This window comes from Homo sapiens, chromosome 8, assembly GCF_000001405.40.
Source record: "Homo sapiens chromosome 8, GRCh38.p14 Primary Assembly".
NCBI classification, from domain to species: Eukaryota; Metazoa; Chordata; class Mammalia; order Primates; family Hominidae; genus Homo; species Homo sapiens.
Window position 1 is genome coordinate 131,750,853 of NC_000008.11, and position 21,288 is coordinate 131,772,140.

Consider the following 21,288-nt stretch of genomic DNA (forward strand, 5'->3'; position numbering starts at 1 on the left):
GTAATTCAGGTTACCTAGCTTTGTGCTGATCTATGCTCATATCGCTCTCATTATTTTTAAGTTAGTCATAGTAAGTGGATTTTGTCTTCTATGCAAATTTTACTCTGCAGTAAAAGCTGCTTTATTAGCAGAAGACTGAGAAGCCTGAGGCAGCATCTGGATTCACCAGAAAATGTGGCCATGATTGATGAGCTTCATCTGCCACATATTAAAGATTGGAGAGTGGAGACACGTGGGCCCACAGGCCTTGTACTCCCTTGATCTGTCCATTCCTGTTTCAGTTCTGACTTGACTCAGATGCCTCATCAGAAGCAAAGGAGTAGCCAGACATAAATAACCCACAGGACCCAACAAAACGATAGGGACCTGTCTCCATAAAATAATGGTCTTATCTTACCATGCTTTTCAAATTAATCTTCTCAAAATATTTATGATGTATAAATTCTCAAAATATTTATGATGTATAAAGTCACTAGATATATTGAGTCATTGACGGCTTTTCTCCACCTCAGCTTCCACATGTACCTTGTATTCCATGATCTGCACCATTCAAACAAAAATACATGGGGAGGTCAGGCACGCTGGCTCATGCCTGTAATCCCAGTATGTTGGGAGGCTGATGTTGGTGGATCACCTGAGTCCAGAGTTCAACACCAGCATGGTCAACATGATGAAACCCTGTATCTACTAAAAATACAAAAATTAGCTGGATGTGGTGCCCATACCTATAATCCCAGCTACTTGTGGGGCTGAGACAGGAGAATCGCTTGAATCCGGGAGGCAAAAGTTGCAGCGAGCCGAGATTACACCACTGCACTCCAGCCTGGGCAACAGAGTGAGACTCTTTCTCAAAAAATAAAAATAAAAAAATAAAAAGTACATGGCAAAATTATTACAGGAAGAACTCGGGATATCAAATTCTTAGCTTCTAAGATTTAAGGAGCCACAGTGTAAGACTGAAACAAAAAGATAGAGAGCTCATTAAGAGCACACACTTTGCAGTTAGACTGCCTGACTTCCAATGCTGCCTCCACCCCTCACCTGGCACATAGGCAGGTTACTTAACCTCTCTGTACCTCAATCTTCTCATATGTCGGATGTGTAATAATAAGAGTACTTCCCTCAGAAGGATCATACAAAACATGTAAAACACTTGGAATAGTGCCTAGTACACAGTAAGTATACCATGAATGTTGTCTGCTGTGATGGTGGGAAAGAACACTGCACAAAACAGGGGACCTTGACCCTCAAGTCATGGACTGGCACCAGTCCATGGCCCTTAGGAACCTGGCCGCATAGCAGGAGGTGAGTAGAAGGCAAGCTAGCATTACGGCCTAAGCTCAACCACCTGTCAGATCAATAGCAACACTAGATTTTCACAGGAGTGCAAATCCTATTGTGAACTGCACATGCGAGAGATCTAGGTTGCATGCTCCTTGTCAGAATATAACTAATGCCTGATGATCTGAGCTGGACTAGTTTCATCCCAAAACCATCCCCCAAACTGTCCGTGGAAAAACTGTCTTTCACAAAACCCATCTCTGGTGCCAAAAAGGTTGGGGACCGCTGAGATAAAAGGGTTTTTTTTTGTTTTGTTTTGTTTGTTTGTTTGTTTGTACTGTCATGACTTTGTTAAAAAAAAAAAGACTGAAAAAGAACAAAAGTATTAGAAAGGTTGTAACAGAGTTTGATGCTGGCGGAATCTTTAAGAACAGCTCCATCACCCTGTCTCCCTCCTACCTCTCAAGTGAGCACCACCATCCCACATCTGGAGTTAGCACCAAGAATGTATAAGGGGATCTACAATAGACACAGAAATAGAAAACAGGGGAAAGGTATCAGAGACACTTTTGCTCCCTTCCAGGCACTGTGTTCACTCCCCAAGTGAGCACCCCAGAAACAAAGTGCATCCCCAAAGTGAACTCCTCACTGAGCCAGAGTGGGGAAGGAGTAGGCTGGGAAAGGGCCTGAGAGACCCCCCACTGGTTTCCTGTAGCCCCTGAGAAGTGGAGGGAGCATCCAGTCCTAATCTTGCCCAGGAGTCCAAGAAGGGCACAGTGAGGAGGGAGGAGAGAGCCCTCTGACCTGAACATGCCTCACACTAAAGGCAAAGAAAATAAAGTTGGCCATAATCAGGCTGTTGGCAACTCCACAAAGTTGTTTTGTGTGTGAGTTGTGGGTCTCTGGGAGGTTGGGGGTTTGAATGAGGGTTGGGGGAGTTTGGAGAATTGAGAGATTTAGAGTGTTTGAGGGAGACTGGGGGGAGGTTGGAGTTTGAGGGGCTGTTCTGTTTGCTTTCGTTTGCTGTAGTTCAATGCCTAGTTTGGAAAGCATTGAGTTTAGGCATAAGAGATATCAAGGTGGTAACGCCTGTTGCTGGTGGAACTGTGCTTCTCTATATTTTTCTTCTTGCTGCTCAACAGCTGCTTCATTCAGGCTCGCCCACCCCTTTGTGCACAGCCTTCCTTCTTCATGGGCTAGTTTCTCAAAGGCAAAAACCTTGTTCGTTTCTGGGATCCAGAGACTATGTGTCCATTTGGTCACTCAGAAGGCAGCCAGGCAGAAAGAAATCTCACTGTGAATGGACTGGTCCAGAGCCTCACTTTGTGACTACTCACCTCCCACTGCTCCACTTGGGAGTCAGGACACAGCAGCTACAGAAAAGTAAGCATGGTGCTAACTATGGTGTTCTCACCTCCAGCTGCATGCTCCTGAGCATGTCAGGCCACTGTGCTGACCCCAGTTCCTTTACCTGTGATACGTGAATATTAGTGAACATTAGTGAACATCAGATTACATGAGAGCAAATCTTCTCGAGAGCTCTAATAGTCCGTGATGTACTGGTTCATCCATTCAACTTACCACTCTGCTTTCCTCTTGCTGCTTCCTTTTCTCTTCCCCCTTTGACTCCTGCTCTTCCACGCAGCTGGGACTGGCAGTGATTCATGGCCCATCCCAGACAAAGCATTTTTCCAAACTGGACTTAGGAGAGGAGCTCCTGCTGGCTGCCCATGTCCCCTGTTGTCCATGGTGCCAATCATCACCATCACCATCATCATCATCATCATCATCATCATCAGTAGCAGCACCAGCAGCATTTGCAGAAGTACACTTTTAGAATGAGCCCTGGGCAGAGGAATAGGATTGCATAATTGCTGCGTTTTAATGAAGAAGAGAAGGGGAAGGAAGCAAAGGAGATGTTGGCACTGATGCATAGTTTTAATGAATTGTTGAAGTAAGAATTAGCCAGGCTAATTTCTCATTTGCCACAGAAATATATGCAGGAGCACTGATACTCAAAAAAGATGCATTACTTTGAATGAATCAAATGGTTGGTTAAGTTAGAAGGCTGGTCAATTCAGTTAACAGGTGTGTGTGTGTATGTGTGTGTGAGAGAGAGAGAGAGTGAGAGAATCTAACTCATTTTTCTACAAATAGCTGATTTTTTTCTTCATTGACCAAATAAACAAATAATATACACAACCTTTAAAATTCTGTTCAAATGTTATTGACACCCCTGTTCAACAAGCTACCAGTGATGTCTTCCCCAAGAAAACTCCCATAATATTGTCTAAGTACCTTTCTCCTCATTTATTATTTCACTCTTGGAATAGAGGCATTTATAACATGGTTTAGCTCCCTTATTGCCCTACAAGCTCCTGGAGGTCAGGGTCCATGCCCAGTTCATGTCTGTCCCCTCCACGGAGACATGGCATAATGCCAAGAACATGGTAAACACAGCATGCATGTTTTTGAATGAATGAGTGAGTGGATGGGAAGCACAATGTGTATTCCTTTAGAAAATTGTTGAGTGCCTATTTAACTATTCATTTGTTCAACTAGTAGATACTGAAAACTTATCATGCACCAGCTATTGCTCCAGGGACTAGTAATACAAGAAATAAATAAAAGAGAGAAGACTCCTGCCCAATAGGACTTACATTCTGGTCAACTGTAATTTTTCTTTAATGTCAAAATCTCAAAATGAAAAGTCAGTATGTTGCTTAGAAGACAGAGCATATAACATGTGGCATCAGTTTATGACTCCAGCAAATGCAACAGCTGTCTTCGACCTTCTTAAGAAAAGCAAAGCTTGTCCAAACTGGTTTCATAGCCTGTCAGTTTTGTGAATGAGCCACTCACTTCCAATTCCATTCAACTAACAATGTTCACCATCAACTAGGTGCAGATTCTTAAGCTTGGATGGCAATGAAGGTGGCTACTAAAGAGCAATTCTGTGGCAGGCAATTTCCATGCAGTCCTTTATTTCATCCTCATGCCAGCCATGAGCAAAGCAGGAGACTGAGTCTCAGATAAATTGCATAACTTGGCCAGGCACAGTGGCTCAAGCCTGTAATCTGAGCACTTTGGGAGGCCGAAGTAGGCAGATCACCAGACCTCAGGAGTTAGAGACCAGCCTGGCCAACATGGTGAAACGCTATCTCTACTAAAACTACAAAAATTAGCCAGGTTTGGTGGCATGCACCTACAATCCCAGCTACTCAGGGAGGCTGAAGCAGGAGAATCGCTTGAACTCAGGAGGCGGAGGTTGCTGTGAGCCAAAGTCATGTCACTGCACTCCAGCCTGGGTGACAGAGCGAGATTCTGTCTCACAAAAGAATAAAATAAAATAAAATAAAATAAAATAAAATAAAATAAAATAAAATAAAATAAAATAAATTACATAACTTGTCTATGGGTACAAATTATAGATGAACAAGTCAGAATTCAGATGTCCTGGTTCAAAAATGGTTTAACTATAAACATTAGAAAAGAAAACACCTGGTATTACTGTGGTGGTTAATAGGAATGTGGACAATTTCATCTTTAAATTTTAAAAAAGCCAAATTATCTTTAAGGAGCATATCTTAATTTAAAATTTTTAAAATATGAACATTAAAGAGAAGTTTTAGTTATAATGCAGTGATGCTTCTGATGATGCTCACACCTAGAAAGCAATGTCTAAGGAAAGTCTTGGAAATGTTATAACAGCACCATTGATTGTGTGAGTTAGTACCTATCCATGGGACACTAGTCCTCTGGATGTTAAACAAACATTAGTCCGTTTCTTTAAAGTCATACCTTGAAGACTTTTCCCCAGGTCTACCAAGAACAAGGAAATGGTGGGCCACTGGCTCAGGGTGACAGAATAGATGCAGAAATATGGTTTAGGTAGAGAAGAAGGAAAAATGAGGATTGTACCTAATTGCTGGTGCAATACTCCAGAGGAAACACGTGGTGCCTTAGAAAGAGTACGAGTCGTGGCATCATAAACTAAATGGTCCTGGTGCTCAATTTCCTCACCTGTATAATAAGAACGGAAATATCCTATTTTTTATGATCCTTTAAAAAGTGACTAAACTGTCTGGCACATTCTGGATACTCTTTATGTATTTTCCTCCAAGCCAGTGTTGTCAGCTCTTTGGGGAAGAACAGGGATATGCACGTCCCACTCCTCACATCTTCCTGATCCTTTTGTAGAAATTCCTATTTTCCACAACCTCTGTGGGAAAAAGAAATGCTTCCCAGGAGAAAATGACCCAGCACTGCACTCACAACATCAGAAGTACTTGTTTCTTAAAACAAAAGGGGGGTGGGGGCAGCACTTTCTCTTCCAAAGAAAAAACACAATTGCCCTTGGTGTGACACATCCAGCATGCCAGACCTTGCAAAGTGGCTTTTGTGAACAATTTCTGGAAAAAATGAAGTCACTCACTCCTTTGACCCTGAAAGATGAAACTTAACTGTGTTTTACAGGTTCAAAAGATTCCCATTTCTACTCTGACATTTTGCCTATCTCTTTAGAAAATGTAAGTGTCTATGAAGAGTTTCAAGTAACAACTCTCACTCAACCACCCTGTGAATTGACATGATGCTTTGTAAAAGAGTAAGCCACGTCTGTCCCATGTTGAAGAAGCCAGGACCCCAGCTCTGGTAGCTCACCTGAGAGCAGCGGGACCATCAGAGGGTCAATTTCCTTCATCAGCAAGAGAACTTTCTCCAAAGACCCAACTTCTTGTCCCTGCCAGGATAATGCCTGGGAGATGCCCTCATCCTTGGCCATCCTTTGTCCCAAATATACACTTTTCCTTGCCCTTTATCTAATTAGAAGATTCCCACTCCCCAACTTACCCACATATTCTATATTCAAGACACAGTGGACATTCTCCCAAAAAAGGTGAACTCCTCCCTCCTCCACCACCACAGTTTGCACCTACCATCTTTCTACAGATAATGCATTCTTTCTCTTCCTAGTAAACACCAACTTCTTTTTCAAGATCCACCTCATCCATCCATCACCTCTTATGTCAAACCTTTCTCCAAACTCTCAGGTCAAATTAACTCTTCCTACCCTGGGCCCTCACAACTATTTGTTCCCTTATTTGAATTTTCATCCTCACTTTACACTATTCAATTTATAGAAAAGAAGGGCAGTTGAAAGAATGCCCTTCAGCTAACATATCTAAAAAAGCTGGAGGTAGTCTATCAAGAGCCATGAACTTCAATGATTTGGTCTCTCTTTCCATCACTGCTTGGATGAGTGGGAAGCAGAAACCTCAGTAAGTGCTTCCTCTGAACACTCAAATTTTCCCTTGTTGTATGAATTCTCCCAACGCTGAGGCTGGAGGAACTAGTAAGCTCATTTTGGCTCTTAAACTAGGCAATATCCTCCAACCTGATGTTCATCATGAATAAAGGGGTGTTTTGTTTCTCCATCTGCTGCCTGTTTTGTCTCATTTCTCAATTGGTTAAGAATTCAAGTGGGGAATGAGGAATGCTATATTTTGGAGTGCCTGAAGGAAATCTGACAATTGCATAGAGCTATTGGGGGTACCTGGTGTGTGAATTGCCTTAGCAGAGGTTTCTGCTTTGTTTCTCGATCTAGCATTTACTCCATTCTGCTTTATCTGCCTGTTACAGGGAACAAAGAAGAAAGGGTGACTAGGAGTAAAAATGATGAACCAGTTTGGAACAGGATGTGCCTGCATAAGCAGATCTAGAGCTTGTGGGATAGGTTGGTGCTGTGGACATAGGAGACATTGAGACATTGGTGCACGGGTGATAGTGAAAGCCATGAGGAGGAAATGGCATTCCCCACACAAAAGATATCCCAGACCTTTCCTCCAGTTCTGAGAGCCTCAAGGTTTCAACCTGGCTTCCTGGGGTGGCTGCCGTTTTTCCGTGACTTTTCATAATACTGACCTTGCTTCAGAATCCTATAGGTGATGAGCCTGCTGCTCTGTACTGTCACGGAAGACACATTTTCCCCATGCTCCTTCCTCATCTCTTTCTGTGATAAACCCCAATGAGATTCAAGGCCACATCCAGGACATTTCTGCAAACCTCCTGCAAGTCACTGATTAATTTTCAAGGCTCTTGCCAGCCTGTGCATACAAGAGCCATCTCCCCATGCCACTCCCTCCTCCCAATCAGAGACATACCCAAAAGCTTATGTTCCTACAACAGTACCAGTGGTATAATTGTATTTTTCAAAGTTACGTAAGCCTCAGTCAGTAATAGTAGGCTGGCATATGGACAATGGTTTAGGAAGAAGAAATTATGGGAAAGGAAGTCAGAGAACTTTGGTAGAGATATAGAGAAAATAAACTGAAAGGATGAAATTGGTGGGGAATAACACAGGTTTAAAACTCAAGTCAACCAAAATTGAATGTCTTCTTTGTGACCTCAGAATGTTCCTGACACTACTCCAACCCAGAAAACATTACCGTAAAATGGGGATGGGGAAAAAGGCAACCTCTGCCTCCTGGGTTCAAGCAATTCTCCTGCCTCAGACCCCCTAGTAGCTGGAATTAGAGGTGACCACCATCACATCCAGCTAACTTTTGTATTTTAGTAGAGATGAAGTTTCACCATGTTGGCCAGGCTAGTCTCAAACTCCTCACCTCAAGTGATCTGCCTGTCTCAGCCTCCCAAAGTGCTGGGATTACAGGAGTGAGTCAGGTAGTTCTTCATAGCAGTGTGAGAATGGACTAATACAGAAAATTATTATCAGAGAAGTGGGACATTGCTATGAAAATATCTGAAAATCTGGAAGTGACTTTGGATCTGGGTAATAGGCAGAAGTTGGAACAGTTTGGAAGGAACAGAAAAAGACCAGAAGATGAGGAAAAGTTTGGAACTTCCTAGAATTGTTGAATGGTTGTAACCAAAATACTGACAGTAATATGGACAATGAAGTCTAGTTTGCGGTGGTCTCAGATGGAGATTAGAAACTTATTGGGAATTGGAGTAAAGGTTACTCTTTCTATGCTTTAACAAAGAGACTGGTGGCATTGTGCCCCTGCCTTAGAGATCTCTGGAACTTTTAACTTGAGAGAGATGATTTAGGGTATCTGGCAGAAGAAATTTCTAAGCAGCAAAGTGTTCAAGATCTGGCCTGGCTGCTTCTAAAAGCCTGCACTCATTTTATAAACAAAGAAATGACCTGTAACTAGAATTTATATTTAAAAGGGAAGCAGAGCATAAAAGTTTAGAAAATTTGCAGCCCAACCATGAAATAGAAAAGAAGAAAACATTTCTGGGGAGGAATTCAAGGTAGCAGAGAAATTTGCATAAGCAGAGAAATTTGCATAAGTAGAGAAGAGCTGAATGTTAATAGCCTAGACAATGGGGAAAATGCCTCCAGGGCATTTCAGAGACCTTTATGGCAGCACCTCCCATCACAGGCCCTGAGGCCTAGGAGCAAAAAAATGGCTTCATGAGCCAGACCCAGGGCCCTGCTGCTCTGTGCAGCCTCAGGACATGGCACGCTGCTCCCCAGCCACTCCAGCTCCAGCCATGGTCAAAAGAAGCCAACATACAGCTCAGGCCATTGCTTCAGAGGGCACAGGTTCCAAACTTTGGCAGCTTCCATGTGGTGTTGGGCCTGTGGGTGCACAGAAATCAAGAGTTGAGTTTCGGAGTCCTCTGCCTAGATATTAGATGATGTATGGAAATGCCTGGATGTTCAGGCAGAGGTCTGCTCCAGGGGTGAAGCCCTCATGGAAAACCTCTTCTAGGTCAGTTGAAGGGGAAATGTCAGGTTGGAGCTCTCACACAGAGTCCCCATTGGGGCACTTCCTAGTGGTGCTGTGAGAAGAGAGCCACCGTCCTCCAGACCCCAGAATGGTAGATCCACTGACAGCTTGCACCATACACCTGGAAAAGCTGCAGGCACTCAAAACCAGTTCATGAAAGCAGCCTAGGGGGCTGTACCCTGCAGAGCCACAGGGCTGGGGTGCCCCAAGGCTTTGGTAACCCACCCCTTCCATCAGTGTGGCCTGGATGTGAGACAGGGAGTCAAAGGAGATTATTTTGGAGCTATAAGATTTAATGACGACCCTGCTGGGTTTCAGACTTGCATGGGGCCTGTAGCCCCTGGTTTGGGCCAATTTCTCCCTTTTGGAATGGGAGTATTTACCCAGTGCCTGTACCCCCATTGTATCTTGGAAGTCACTAACTTGCTTTTGATTTTACAGGCTCATAGGAGGAAGGGACACACCTTGTTTCAGATGAGACTTTGGACTTCGACTTTTGAGTTAATGCTGAAATGAGCAAAGACTTGGGGAACTTTTGGAAAAGCACGATTGTGTTTTGAAATGTGAGAAGGACATGAGATTTTGGAGGGGCCAGCGTTGGAATGATACAGTTTGGCTCTGTGTCCCCACCCAAATCTCAGGTTGAACTGTAATCCTCAGTGTTGGGAGAGGGACATGGTGGGAGGTGATTAGATCATGAGGGTGAATATCCCCCTTGCTCTCCTCATGATTATGAGTTCTCCTGAGATCTGGTTGTTTGAAAATGTGTAGAATTTCCCCCTTTTCACTCTCTCCTGTTCCACCATGGTAAGATGTGCTTGCTTCCCTTTCACCTTTCTGCCATGATTGTAAGTTTCCTGAGACCTCCTACACAAGCTTCCTATATAGCCTGTGGAACTGTGAATCAATTAAACTTCTTTTCTTCATAAATTATGCAGTCTCAGGTAGTTCTTTATAGCAGTGTGTAATGTGTATAGACTAATAAAGGATGTAAGAAGGGGACCTCCTTTACTTCCAGTCTCCTGGGGTAAGCTGATCTGCTCAAGTCTTCCTTTGGATGGACAGTAAAGGCCTGAAATTTCCTGTACTGCTGAGTTTATAAAGTAGTTCAGCATTACTGCATGTAGCAGGCTGGGAGTTTCCTGAATTAGAAGACCCACCTCTCTGCATAGGCAGGCTCCAAGGTATGGATGTGGAGAAAAAGTAGATACCCTACTTTGGCCTCAAGACCACATTCTCCAGCACGGTTTACTATGAAGCCAGTAGTATGAGGCTGAATAACATTTTCTTATCTTCTTATTATTGTTTTCCTTTGATCCTGATTCAGCCACCATGGATTTCTACTTGATTAGGTTAAAATAGTGGTTCTCAAACTTGAGCATGCATCAAGATCATCATCTGGAGGGCTTATCAAAACACTGATTGCTTAGCCCCACTCTGACAGTTTCTGAATTAGGATGTTGCAGGTGGGAGTCTGAGAATGTATATTTCTAACAAGTCCCTAGGTGAGGCTGATGCTGCTGGTCCAGAGAACACATTTTGAGAACCATTGGATTAAACACAGAAAAGGGAAAAAGGAATGGCAATAACTTTCATTAAGAGTCACCATACTTATAATTTTTTGTTGAATGGTATATTCCTCCTACGTTCCAGGAGGGCAGTGATCTTGTCTATATTACTCACAATTTTGTCCCCAGTGCCAAGAGCAAAGTAGGAGCTCAATGATTATGTACTAATGAGCTAGAACACCTGTCCTTACTAATAAGACAATCTTTTACACAGAATACTGACCCTGCCACATGGCAGTGAGGTGTTATTACATGGTATTTTACTGTGAGGTGCAGAGGCTACAGGTTGTAAAACTTAGAGTGCCCTCTCCTCAGAGTCGCAACCTGTTCTCATGGGCACTATTGTCCCAGTGTGTTTATTTTCATTAAGACCTGCCCTGGGTGAAAACTGGGAGAGGGGCAGAGGGACAGAAAATGTTTACTTGCTTAACCAGTCAGGGAGGAGGATCTGAGCAGTCCTTTCTTCTTCCAGCCCTAGGTGGGAAAACAGTGCTCTGTGGTAATTGCTATTAAAGCCCGAGGCAATGATGTGCCTTGTAAATTATCTACAAGGTTGCTAACAACTAGGAATGCCCTGATTGCTCATTGGCTTGTTCAGAATACATTGGAATGCAGCTCAAGCTCTGATGAAGGAGTGATCTCAGAAATAAATCAAATTTGGTGCAGGAAGCCACATCTATATTTCATATGCCTGCCTCTGCAGGGATGCCTCAGTAATTGGTTTAAAAATATCTCTGACATCTGTTGATTCTTCTGCTTTTAAGGTTGAATCTTTGTCTTTTTTGCAAAGGACTACGATGCAAAAGCAAGAAAGGGAAAGAAGATGTTCCTGCAGCTATGTGACAAAGGCCTTCATCCCTGCCAGCACTCACAGCTCAAACAAATTTGCTGGTCAGTCTAGCCTCATACAATCATCTCTCCCTCAGACCCTTGTGAAAAGGAAACAGTCTATGAATAAGTACATGGCATGCCTACACACGCACATTTGCTGGGTACACATGTCAATCATTTCACAGCATTGAAATGTGAGTGTTTGGTAACTCCGAATTTTGACATAAGTATCCCAGAAGTGATGGCTCCCATAAAACACACAAACAAAGCCACATCTGTATTTAGCATTTTCAGCTGGGAAAGTCTTCCTGGAACACATACTATTGCAGCCTTGGCTCAGTAAAGTCAGTTGTAAAAAGAAGATAGTAACAGAATCTACCCTACAAATATTGTTATGAGAATTAAGGGAGAAACATATAAAATATATAGATGTATAAATAAAGACTCTATAAATATGACCTGTTATTGTTGTTATTCATATCACTGCCCATGTGATAAAAGGACATACAAGGCCCACAGTATCAGTGAGATATATCAGGGAAGTAAGTTTGGGTACCTAAGGTGCAGCTCCTTCCTGACACACACTTCATGCTGCAGCTTCTCTTTGTATTTTATTACTTCTGCCTGGAATGCCTTCTTCCCTTTCCAGGATTCACCTATGTTCTCTTTGTTCAAAATAAAATGTAGGGGTCACCATCTCATTAACCTCCCATCACCCCATCCCTATCCAGAGCGGATGCTCTGCTTTGAGCCCCATCAAAGTCCCAGAACACCATCAGAGCATTTCCACACTGGATGATCTTTGTCTGTTTGCTGGTTTGTCTCTTCCTCTAGACTGTGAGCATCCTCAAGTATAAACCTAGTATTATTGCCTATCTAATTTTGAACAAAGTAGACATCCAAGCAAGATGTGACTAGTGAGTAAACAGGAATTAGCAGGATCAGCCACTTGTCTCTTTTGCTAATTTCTCAAAAAAGGATTTAAAGGAAAATTAAATGCCATACAGGTAGAATTCACATTGACAAAGGGGGATTGCATTTTGGTGTAAATATGGGTGAGAATTGTGGATAGGTTGATAAGTATACAGGGCTTTGAGGTCAGCTCTGGATTCTATATCTGGCTGTGTCACTTGGGCTGCATGACCTTGGTCATGTTACTTAACTTCTCTAGGCCTGTTTTCTCATCAAAATGAGTGCATAACTCTCAGAGTGAGTAAAAATAAATAAAATTGGTGCTATGGGCTGAATTATTTGCCTCAAAATTTCATATATTGAAGTTCTAACCCGTGATGTAACTGTATTTGAAGATAGAGCTTTTGGGGGTAAAATGAGGTCATAGGGTGGGCATCTGTATTAGTCAGTTTTCATGCTGCTGATAAAGACATACCCAAGACTGGGCAATTTACAAAAGAAAGAGGTTTAATTGGACTTAAAGTTCCACATGGCTGGGGAAGCCTCACAATCATGGTAGAAGGCAAGGAGGAGCAAGTCACATTTTACATGGATGGCAGCAGGCAAATAGAGAGAGCTTGTGCAGAGAAACTCCTGTTTTTAAAACTATCAAATCTCAGGAGACCCATTCACTATCACAAGAACAGCACAGGAAAGTCCTGCCCCAATGATTCAGTCATCTCCCACTGGGTCCCTCCCACAACATGTGGGAATTATAAGAGCCACAAGATGAGATTTGGATGGGGACACAGAGTCCTAATCCAATATGACTGGTGGCCTTACAAGAAGAGGAAAGAAGAGCAGAGCTCTCTCTCTCCAGCTACACTTACCTGTGAATGGCCATAGCAAGAAGATTGCCATGTACAAGCCAGGAAGAAAGGCCTCACCAGAAACCAAACTGGTCTGAAATTTGGACTTCTAGCCTCTAGAACTGTAAGAAAATAAATTTCTGTTGTTTAAACCACCCTCCTTGTAGTATTTTGTTATGGCGGCCAAAGCTGACTAATATAATTGGCATATGTAAAGGGATTCACACATAATCAATACCATATTGAACAAAGTAACCTCCAACAAATGTTGGTCTTTCATATCATTTTAAATTGTGTTTGACTTGTTGATGCAACTATGTAACTCCAATGTTTATAACAGAGTGTAGTTGGAAACTAGTGTAAAATATAAAATATTACTTACTTGGCCCAGTATAGAAATTGATCTACTTTTTTGAGCAAGGTCAACATGTACAGTCAATGTATGATATTCACATCAGTGCATAAAACTACATAAAAAGAAACTGATCAATCACTTAAGATATAACTTCTCCCACTGATAACAAATGCTTCCTTCACTAACATTTGCAAGCATGGTAGTTGAGCAATGTAACTGACTAACGGTTTGCTTTCCTTTCTCTTTCCCTACCATTGGCCACCATCTAACAGGCTGGCCTGGGCAGCCAGAGTGCAAGTCCTCAAACTTGTCTTCATAGTGAATTTTCTGGAGGAACTTTAAAATACCATGGCTTTGGGAGGCTGAGGCAGGTGGATCACTTGAGGTCAGGAGTTTGAGACTAGCCTGGCCAAACTGGTGGTCTCTGTCTCTACTAAAATTAGCCAGGTGTGGTGGCATGTGCCTGTAGCCCCAGCTACTCCAGAGGCTGAGGTTTCACTGGTGGCGAAACCCTGTCTCTACTAAAAATAAAAAAATTAGCCAGGTGTGATGGCACATGGCTGTAGTCCCAGCTACTCAGGAGGTGAGGCAGGAGAATTGATTGAACCCGGGAGATGGAGGTTGCAGTGAGCAGAGCTCATGCCACTGCACTCCGGCCTGTCCAACAGCGTGAGACTCCATCTCAAAAACAAACAAACAAACAACCATGGCCTGGATGTCACCCCCCAGAAATGCTAATTTAATTGGTTAGTGGTAGATCTGAACATTGGGAGGTTCTAAGACCCTCCCCAGGTGATACAAATATGCAGCCACATTTGGGAACCACTGAGCAGGGGGTTGGCAAGGTCAATAGTCTATATTCTCTGTTAATTGACCAGTCTGTTGCCTGGCCAATGTCAACCATTGGAAAATTGGGGCTTTTTTTCTTGGTCTAAAGAAAGATCTGAATATTCTCAGTGAGAAGCACTCAATGTGCCATCTTTGTAAGCTTAAGTTACTCAAGTTCTCTGAGTTGTGCCTTCTTTATCTGTAAATTGAGGTTAGCAGTACTCATGTCCTCAAGTTGTTGTCACTAACAGCAATAGAGTAACTAAAGAGTCAGGCTCAATATTTGTTTCAGCCACAAGTCTGAGTTCTCTATGCATTTTATCTCATTTGATCTTCACTACAACCCTAAGGAGTAGGCATCATTGTTATCCCCATTTTGCAGGTAAGGAAGATAAATTGCAGCTAGAGCAGGAATCACAGTCTAAGTATTTCACAGCAAGTATGTGATAGAGATGGCACTGGGACACAAGATGGCCTGGCGCCCAAATCTCCATTCTTAACCCTTATTCTCCACTGCCCTGGGTCATTAGGAAAGCCTCAGGAGATGACATCCCTTAAGTTCTGAGCACAGGGCCAGGAACACAGGAGAACGTGAATACTTACGGTTCCCTTTCCACTCCTTAGAGCTTATTAAGGCAAGGCAACACCAAGTCATACCCTTGGTCCGTGCTTAATGTCCAAGCCATACTCCAGAAAGCATTAGACCCTAACAAAAACAGGTACAGGACCATCAGCAAGAGAACAACACAGAAGAGGTGACTAACCCAGTATGGGATTAGTACCACCTTAACCAAGAGCTCTCTTGAGTAGGCATCAACACCAGGCCCCAGTCCTTGGCAGCTGTGGCCAGGGACAGCCTGGTACATCCACACCTGCCAGTACCTCAATGGTTACAAGGAAGGGCACAAGGGACCCAGACACATCCACGTGTTCTCAAGTCACTTTACTTTCTCATGCAGAGACAGAGGATGCACTGTGAAGCAACAGGGAAAAAGCTTTGACTATACAGGTGGCTAAAAGAAAACAGAAAATTGTGTTCATGTTATAAGAACATTGCTATAGGAACAAATACTGCATGCATATGGATTAGAACAGGCAGGGAACAGGGATAAAAGGAAGCTGACTTACTAGGGTGGCAGATTGTCAGAGAAGGTTTTCATTTTTGTTAATGTGCCCCTAACGTTGTTTGTATAATAAATAATAAAATAATCATGATTTCTAGTTATAAAAGAGTCATCAAGAGAACACTGAGATAGCAGAATCTCTTGTCACAGACTGCAATTGTATCAGAAACCAGAAAGAGAATGGAAAGTGGTAGAAAGAGGCAGCTGCCCAAACTCAAAAACACAGATTAGTTTTATTCTCCCATCCCTTTTGCTCCAGCCCTCCTTTTACAGAAGCTTAGAAAGCACATATGTCATAACTGCATTTTTCACAAATATACATCTATGCGTACACATACATGCATATATAAATACATATGTAACCATAGATATATATGTATAGATAGATGCATGCATATGTATAAATATGTGTATATAGATATAGATGCACACATATGTGTTTATAAAACTAAGAGAATGCTATATACACTGTTTTATAATCTTTTTCACTTAATACTATGCCATGATTATTTCCAGATGAAATCAAATATTCAGATGCTAAGGCATTTTTTAATGGAAACATAACATTCTGTGTACTGCAACTATTTCATAAATCTCCTGTTTTGGAACCTGGAGGAAGTCATAACTTTTCACTATCATAAGTAATACTGAAATGGATAACTCATTTGTCCCCTTGAAAGAAGTGCTTAGATATAAGATTTCTGGGTTAAACCATATGGCTTTGATATATATCACAAAATTTATCTCCCCAAATATATGAATTTGTATACCCACTAGCAGTATATGGCAGTATTTTTAACTCATCACACACACTGAGTATTCACTTTTTTTTTTTTTTTATGTCTTAGGTTAAAATTTTCTTTGATTTTTTTTTTTTTTTTTAGATGGAGTCTTACTCCGTCACCCAGGCTGGAGTGTGGTGGTGTGATCTCAGCTCACAGCAACCTGACCTCAGGTGATTCACCCGCCTCTGTCTCCCAAAGTGCTGGGATTACAGGCGTGAGCCACTGCGCCCGGCGTCTTTGAATTTTTTAAACTGAAGTTTAATTGCCTTTGAGTTTGATCATTCACTATTTGTCATTTGTATTTCTTTTGTTAATTATCTGCTCAAGCTCTAATTTCATAATGGAAATTTAATGGATTAACATATAACACCCACTATCACCTGCCTGAGTTTGGAATCAATTGCATTGAACAAGAGTCAAGTATTCTGGGGTCAAAATGTGAGCTTCATTAGTGACAAAGCTGTTTAGAGCACATGGCTTAGCTATGTAGGCAGGTGGGCTTGCTAAAACTTTGCCTATACAGGAGACAGATATTTATTCACCGAGTTCCTTCATAGCTGGGCCATTGCTGGCCACCCTGGACAGGGGCAGGGCCTTTAGACTAAGATAACTGCCTGGCCCCAGAGAACAGGAGAATGCACCCTCACTGGTGTTGAGCATAACTCAAGGAAGAAACCCTAAGGAGCTGAGCCAAGCTCATTATTAAATATCACACACCTTTTCTCATGGACAACCATAAGTAAAGAATGGAAACAGTGGCCAGGAGTGTTTCCCTGGGAAAGTAGCTCCCCAAGAAAACATGAGTGTTGAGAAAAACATGGTTTCCCAGTGATTAAAATAGTGGATTGGCACTCCACTTCCTTTGGAGTGTCTTCCTGGGGTGCAGGATGTAGATATCTAAATACTACATGGTACAAACAATTGTACAGCTGGGGCCCTGGATATGATTTGGGTTAGATGCACTTGTCTGCAATGTGGAAGGTGGCAATGGAGTGGAGCCCATTTCTGCTGCTGCTTCTCTTTCTGTGGGCACCATTCTGGGCAGGTCTGATTTTTTTTTCCAGTTGCTTCTTGACCATACATGGGTGGCATAGGCCTCAAGCCCGTATCCGTACGGACAGTTTCCTGATTTAATAGATGCCTTCCTTGTCTTTCTGGCTTCCTATTTATGGAAGAGCAAGTGCAGACCCTGCAGGTGGAGCACCAGCTTCTCAATTCATCAGGAGGTTTTCAGGTCAAAAATGAGGCAGTGGCTCCTGGGTGACCAAGTTCTCTGAGGTAGTCCTGAGAGTTCAACCAAGAGGCAGCTTCCTCAGCCTCTCTATTGATCCCAAAAGCCATTTAGTAAATAGCATTTGATTCATATCTGCTTAGAGAACCTAGACTGAATTCTGATATCTGCAAAACTGAGCCCTAATTTTTGAACTCTCAACATTAGTTATTATCAATAATGATTTAAAATAAGCATAATAATATCAGGACCACTACAAAATTTTCACTATGTGCTAAATATAATGCAATATATATTATTTCGTGCAATTCTCAGAAGAATCCTATGAGATTAATAACTCTTGTTATTCCTATTAGTAAGACGTAGATTATGTCAGATGCTCAGGGTCTGCTAGGTAGTGAAGAGCAAAACCAGACCTAGATTTCAGATCTGTCCGCACCTGCAGTCTGGGTCTTGATCCACTGCTAGGTGTTTGGCTCTTTCTAGTGACACACAAACATGTCCAGATTTCTTTTAAAAAAGATTTTGCTTGTTTGCAAATATCTGGAAAGGCCTTTCCCCCCATCAAATGCATGCTGTTGTTCAAGGCAAATCTCTATCATTCTACACCAGCCAGGCCTCAGCACAAACAGACAACAGTCCCCTGAGTCCCTCACCAAATATTCTGGAAAGGAAGAAAAGAGGAAACGAAATACAGAGTGATGGAAGAAAGGGTGGAAAGAATTTAGTAGAACTGTTGTGTTAGAAATTCTGTTACCAGTTTAGCACCATTTCTACTCCTTTTTATTCTCTATTTCACAAGGGGCTGGAAGCCTGGGAGCTACATTTCCCAGAATTCTTTGTCACCAGAGTTATGCTATAGATTTTGCCAGTAGATGCTGGAAAAGGTGAGAGACAGGAGCCATATTATTGTTTCTCTTTGTCAGTCAAATATATGCACAGATGTTAGCACATGAGAGATTTTACAGAAATCTCCTTTCTCCTACAGATCACTTGCTTTATTGCTGCAAGCAGATATAATCATTGGTGACAGTTTCCTACAGTTTCAAATTATTTGATAGCTGTGATTAAAACTGAGTGTCAGCAGCTTTTCCTGACCTTTGCTCCTCCAGTACTTTCAGTCACTTTATATGTGACTAATTCTCTGTTTTAAGCTACTTTACATGTGAAATACCTGGAGACATCTCTGTTTTCATGAAGGATGGATCAGTGTTATCTTCCCAGGTTTATCACCAGACTTACCACTGCAATGGGGATCAGGGCTTCAACATATGAATTTGAGAGATGACACAAACATTCGGTCCATGACCCTTGCTTTCTGTGTTCCTAGCTCTGCCCTGGAGCTGGGCATTTCCTCCCTCTGGGCCTCAGTTTCCTCACATATTAGATGAGGGGGTGGACTTAGCTGAATCTGAAGTCCTTTCCAGCTCTCACATGCTTTGAGCCTATAAAACACCATTCACACTAGAAAAGTGTCTTCATGCCTCTCTCTCTCTCTGTCTCTCTCTCCTAACATCCCAAGGCCAAAGGGGTTTCATTTATCTGGCAATAGCAGGTTCCACACTGAGGAACAATTTTTACTGGTGAAATTGTATCGAGAACCGTGAAAAAGAAGTGAACATCACATACACTCAAAGGTGCCAGTTCATCCCGATTCCATTTCCCCCAGAAATTGACCTAATGTCCAAAACCATTTCAGTTAATGGCTACATGTCTATTGCTTGCTCTCCAGCGAAAGCAAATAACGATCCCTGGATTTGTTCTTAACTGAGTCCTGAAAGGTCTGAACAGGCCCAGGCAAAACATCGGAGTAACTGTGGAAAACTGCATTGCTAATAACTTACTTTCATTGCAGGAAGAATGCAGCATGAGAGAGGAAACAGAGCCCTGTGGCTTTCCTGGACTAGATTCAAGTCCTGCTATCGTAGTCACCTCAGGCTGCCATAAAAAAATATCAAAGACTGGGAGCCTTAAACAGCAGATACTTATTTCTCACAGTGTTGGAGTCTTCAAAGTTCAAGATCAAGGTATAGGCAGCTTTGGTTCCTGGTGAGGGTCCACTTCCTGGCTTACAGATGGTTGCCTTCTTGCTGTGTCCTCGATACGGTGGAAAGAGAGGGAGCCCAGGTCTCTTGTCCTCTTCCTGTAAGAATACCAAGCCCATCGTGAGGCCCCCACAATCACGACCTCATCTAAATCTAGTTACCTCCCAAAGGCCTCGCCTCTAAATACCACTGCTTTGGGGATTAGAGCTTCATGTGAATTTGGGAGGTGATGCAAACAATGGGTCCATGGCACTTGCTTCTCTCCTCCTAACTGTGCCTCAGTTTACATGTCACTTCTTCAAGGAGTCTTTCTAGAACATCTCCTTCATTCTAATCTCAAAACCCTTGTATTTTCCTTATGTTATTTCTTACAACATAACTGTTTCCTGGGTGATAGTATTTATGTAGCTCCCTCAACAGGACGTAAGCTCCATGAAGGCAAGAGCATGTACATCTCATGAAGATTGTCACCCAGAACCCGATACAATGGGGCACAGTGGTGTTTATTAAATCTAAGATAAAGAGTTAATAGCCCAGCGTGACCGACGCAGAAGACGGGTGATTTCTGCATTTCCATCTGAGGTACCGGGTTCATCTCACTAGGGAGTGCCAGACAGTGGGCGCAGGCCAGTGGGTGTGCACACGGTGAGCGAGCCGAAGCAGGGCGAGGCATTGCCTCACCTGGGAAGCACAAGGGGTCAGGGAGTTCCCTTTCCGAGTCAAAGAAAGGGGTGACGGACGCACCTGGAAAATCGGGTCACTCCCACCCGAGTATTGCGCTTTTCAGACCACCTTAAAAAACGGCGCACCACGAGACTATATCCCACACCTGGCTCGGAGGGTCCTACGCCCACGGAATCTCGCTGATTGCTAGCACAGCAGTCTGAGATCAAACTGCAAGGCGGCAGCGAGGCTGGGGGAGGGGCGCCCGCCATTGCCCAGGCTTGCTTATGTAAACAAAGCAGCCAGGAAGCTCGAACTGGGTGGAGCCCACCACAGCTCAAGGAGGCCTGCCTGCCTCTGTAGCCTCCACCTCTGGGGGCAGGGCACAGACAAACAAAAAGACAGCAGTAACCTCTGCAGACTTAAATGTCCCTGTCTGACAGCTTTGAAGGGAGTAGTGGTTCTCCCAGCATGCAGCTGGAGATCTGAGAACGGGCAGACTGCCTCCTCAAGTGGGTCCCTGATCCCTGACCCCCGAGCAGCCTAACTGGGAGGCACCCCCCAGCAGGGGTACACTGACACCTCACACGGCAGGGTATTCCAACAGACCAGCAGCTGAGGGTCCTGTCTGTTAGAAGGAAAACTAACAAACAGAAAGGACATCCTCACCAAAAACCCATCTGTACATCACCATCATCAAAGACCAAAAGTAGATAAAACCACAAAGATGGGGAAAAAACAGAACAGAAAAACTGGAAGCTCTAAAAATCAGAGCGCCTCTCCTCCTCCAAAGGAATGCAGCTCCTCACCAGCAACAGAACAAAGCTGGATGGAGAATGACTTTGACGAGCTGAGAGAAGAAGGCTTCAGACAATCAAATTACTCTGAGCTATGGGAGGACATTCAAACCAAAGGCAAAGAAGTTGAAAACTTTGAAAAAAATTTAGAAGAATGTATAACTAGAATAACCAATACAGAGAAGTGCTTAAAGGAGCTGATGGAGCTGAAAACCAAGGCTCGAGAACTACGTGAAGAATGCAGAAGCCTCAGGAGCCGATGT

General features: G+C 43.0%; 1 annotated feature.

Moving 5' to 3' along the window:
• Positions 20,340 to 20,867: an enhancer, noted in NCBI's record as "H3K27ac-H3K4me1 hESC enhancer chr8:132783439-132783966 (GRCh37/hg19 assembly coordinates)". NCBI's record gives its function as "activates a minimal SCP1, AML or CMV promoter by ChIP-STARR-seq in naive and primed H9 embryonic stem cells {active_cell/tissue: H9 hESC(naive and primed)}" and the evidence as "EXISTENCE:reporter gene assay evidence [ECO:0000049][PMID:30033119]".